Genomic DNA, 1,011 nt, shown 5'->3' on the forward strand with positions numbered 1-1,011 from the left:
TCTTTCTCACGTAGTCAGAATACATGAGTTCCAAATTACCAAGGAGTTGAAGTAGAAATGGCCACTCTTACTATCACACTTGAAAACTTAACTGGAGGAATTTTTGCTTCCTATGCCAGGTATATTTTGAGTTCTACTAGTTTGAAGTCTTAATCTCTAAGGAAAAATGCTATAAAGTAACAAAGCAAGGATTCCATTGAATCGTTTTATATTTGTTTCACCTGTATGTTGTTTCCTTTCACATCCTTTCTGCGCCTTCTTTTGGATTAATTGAATGGTATTTATAATCCAATTTTATCCTCTCATTAGCTTACTAAATATATCTCATAGTTAAGTTACTTTAGTGCTTTCTTTGGGTTTATAATATACATCTCTAACTTACCACACACAATCTACCTTCAAGCTATGTGATACTACTTTATATACAATATAAAAACTTTATAAGAATCTGCTTCTTCTTTTCTGACATTTGGACTCTTGTTATTATACATTTTAATTATAAGTATGTTATAAACTTCACAAAACATTTCATTTCCTTTCAAAATTCAATTACCTTTTAAAGAGATTAGATACTAATTTCTAATATGCTTGCTTCCTTTATGTAGATAAGTATTTCTGTCTAGTAACATTTTTCTTATTGCTAAAGACTTCCTTTAACATTTCTTATACTGCAGGTATGCTAGTAATGAATTCTTTTAGTTTTTATTTGTCTCAAAAAGTGTTTGCCTTGGTTTTTAAAAGATATTTTTGCATTTTAGTATGGCAGTTCTCTTTTTCAGTGCCTTCAAGATGATGCTCCACTGGCTTCTAGCCCTCATTATTCCAGTCAAGAAGTCTGTTGTTATTCTTGCTTGTTTTTTGCACACAGTGTTTCTTTATTCCTCTAGCTGCTTGTCATATTTTCTCTTTGTTGCTTGCTTTAAGTTGAATGGTATAGTTTTCTCCAGGTTTCTTGTGCTTCATTGAACTTCTTGAGCCTAAAGCTTTATCATTTCCATCAAATTTGAAAAC

The sequence above is a fragment of the Homo sapiens genome, chromosome 2 (assembly GCF_000001405.40).
Source record: "Homo sapiens chromosome 2, GRCh38.p14 Primary Assembly".
NCBI classification, from domain to species: Eukaryota; Metazoa; Chordata; class Mammalia; order Primates; family Hominidae; genus Homo; species Homo sapiens.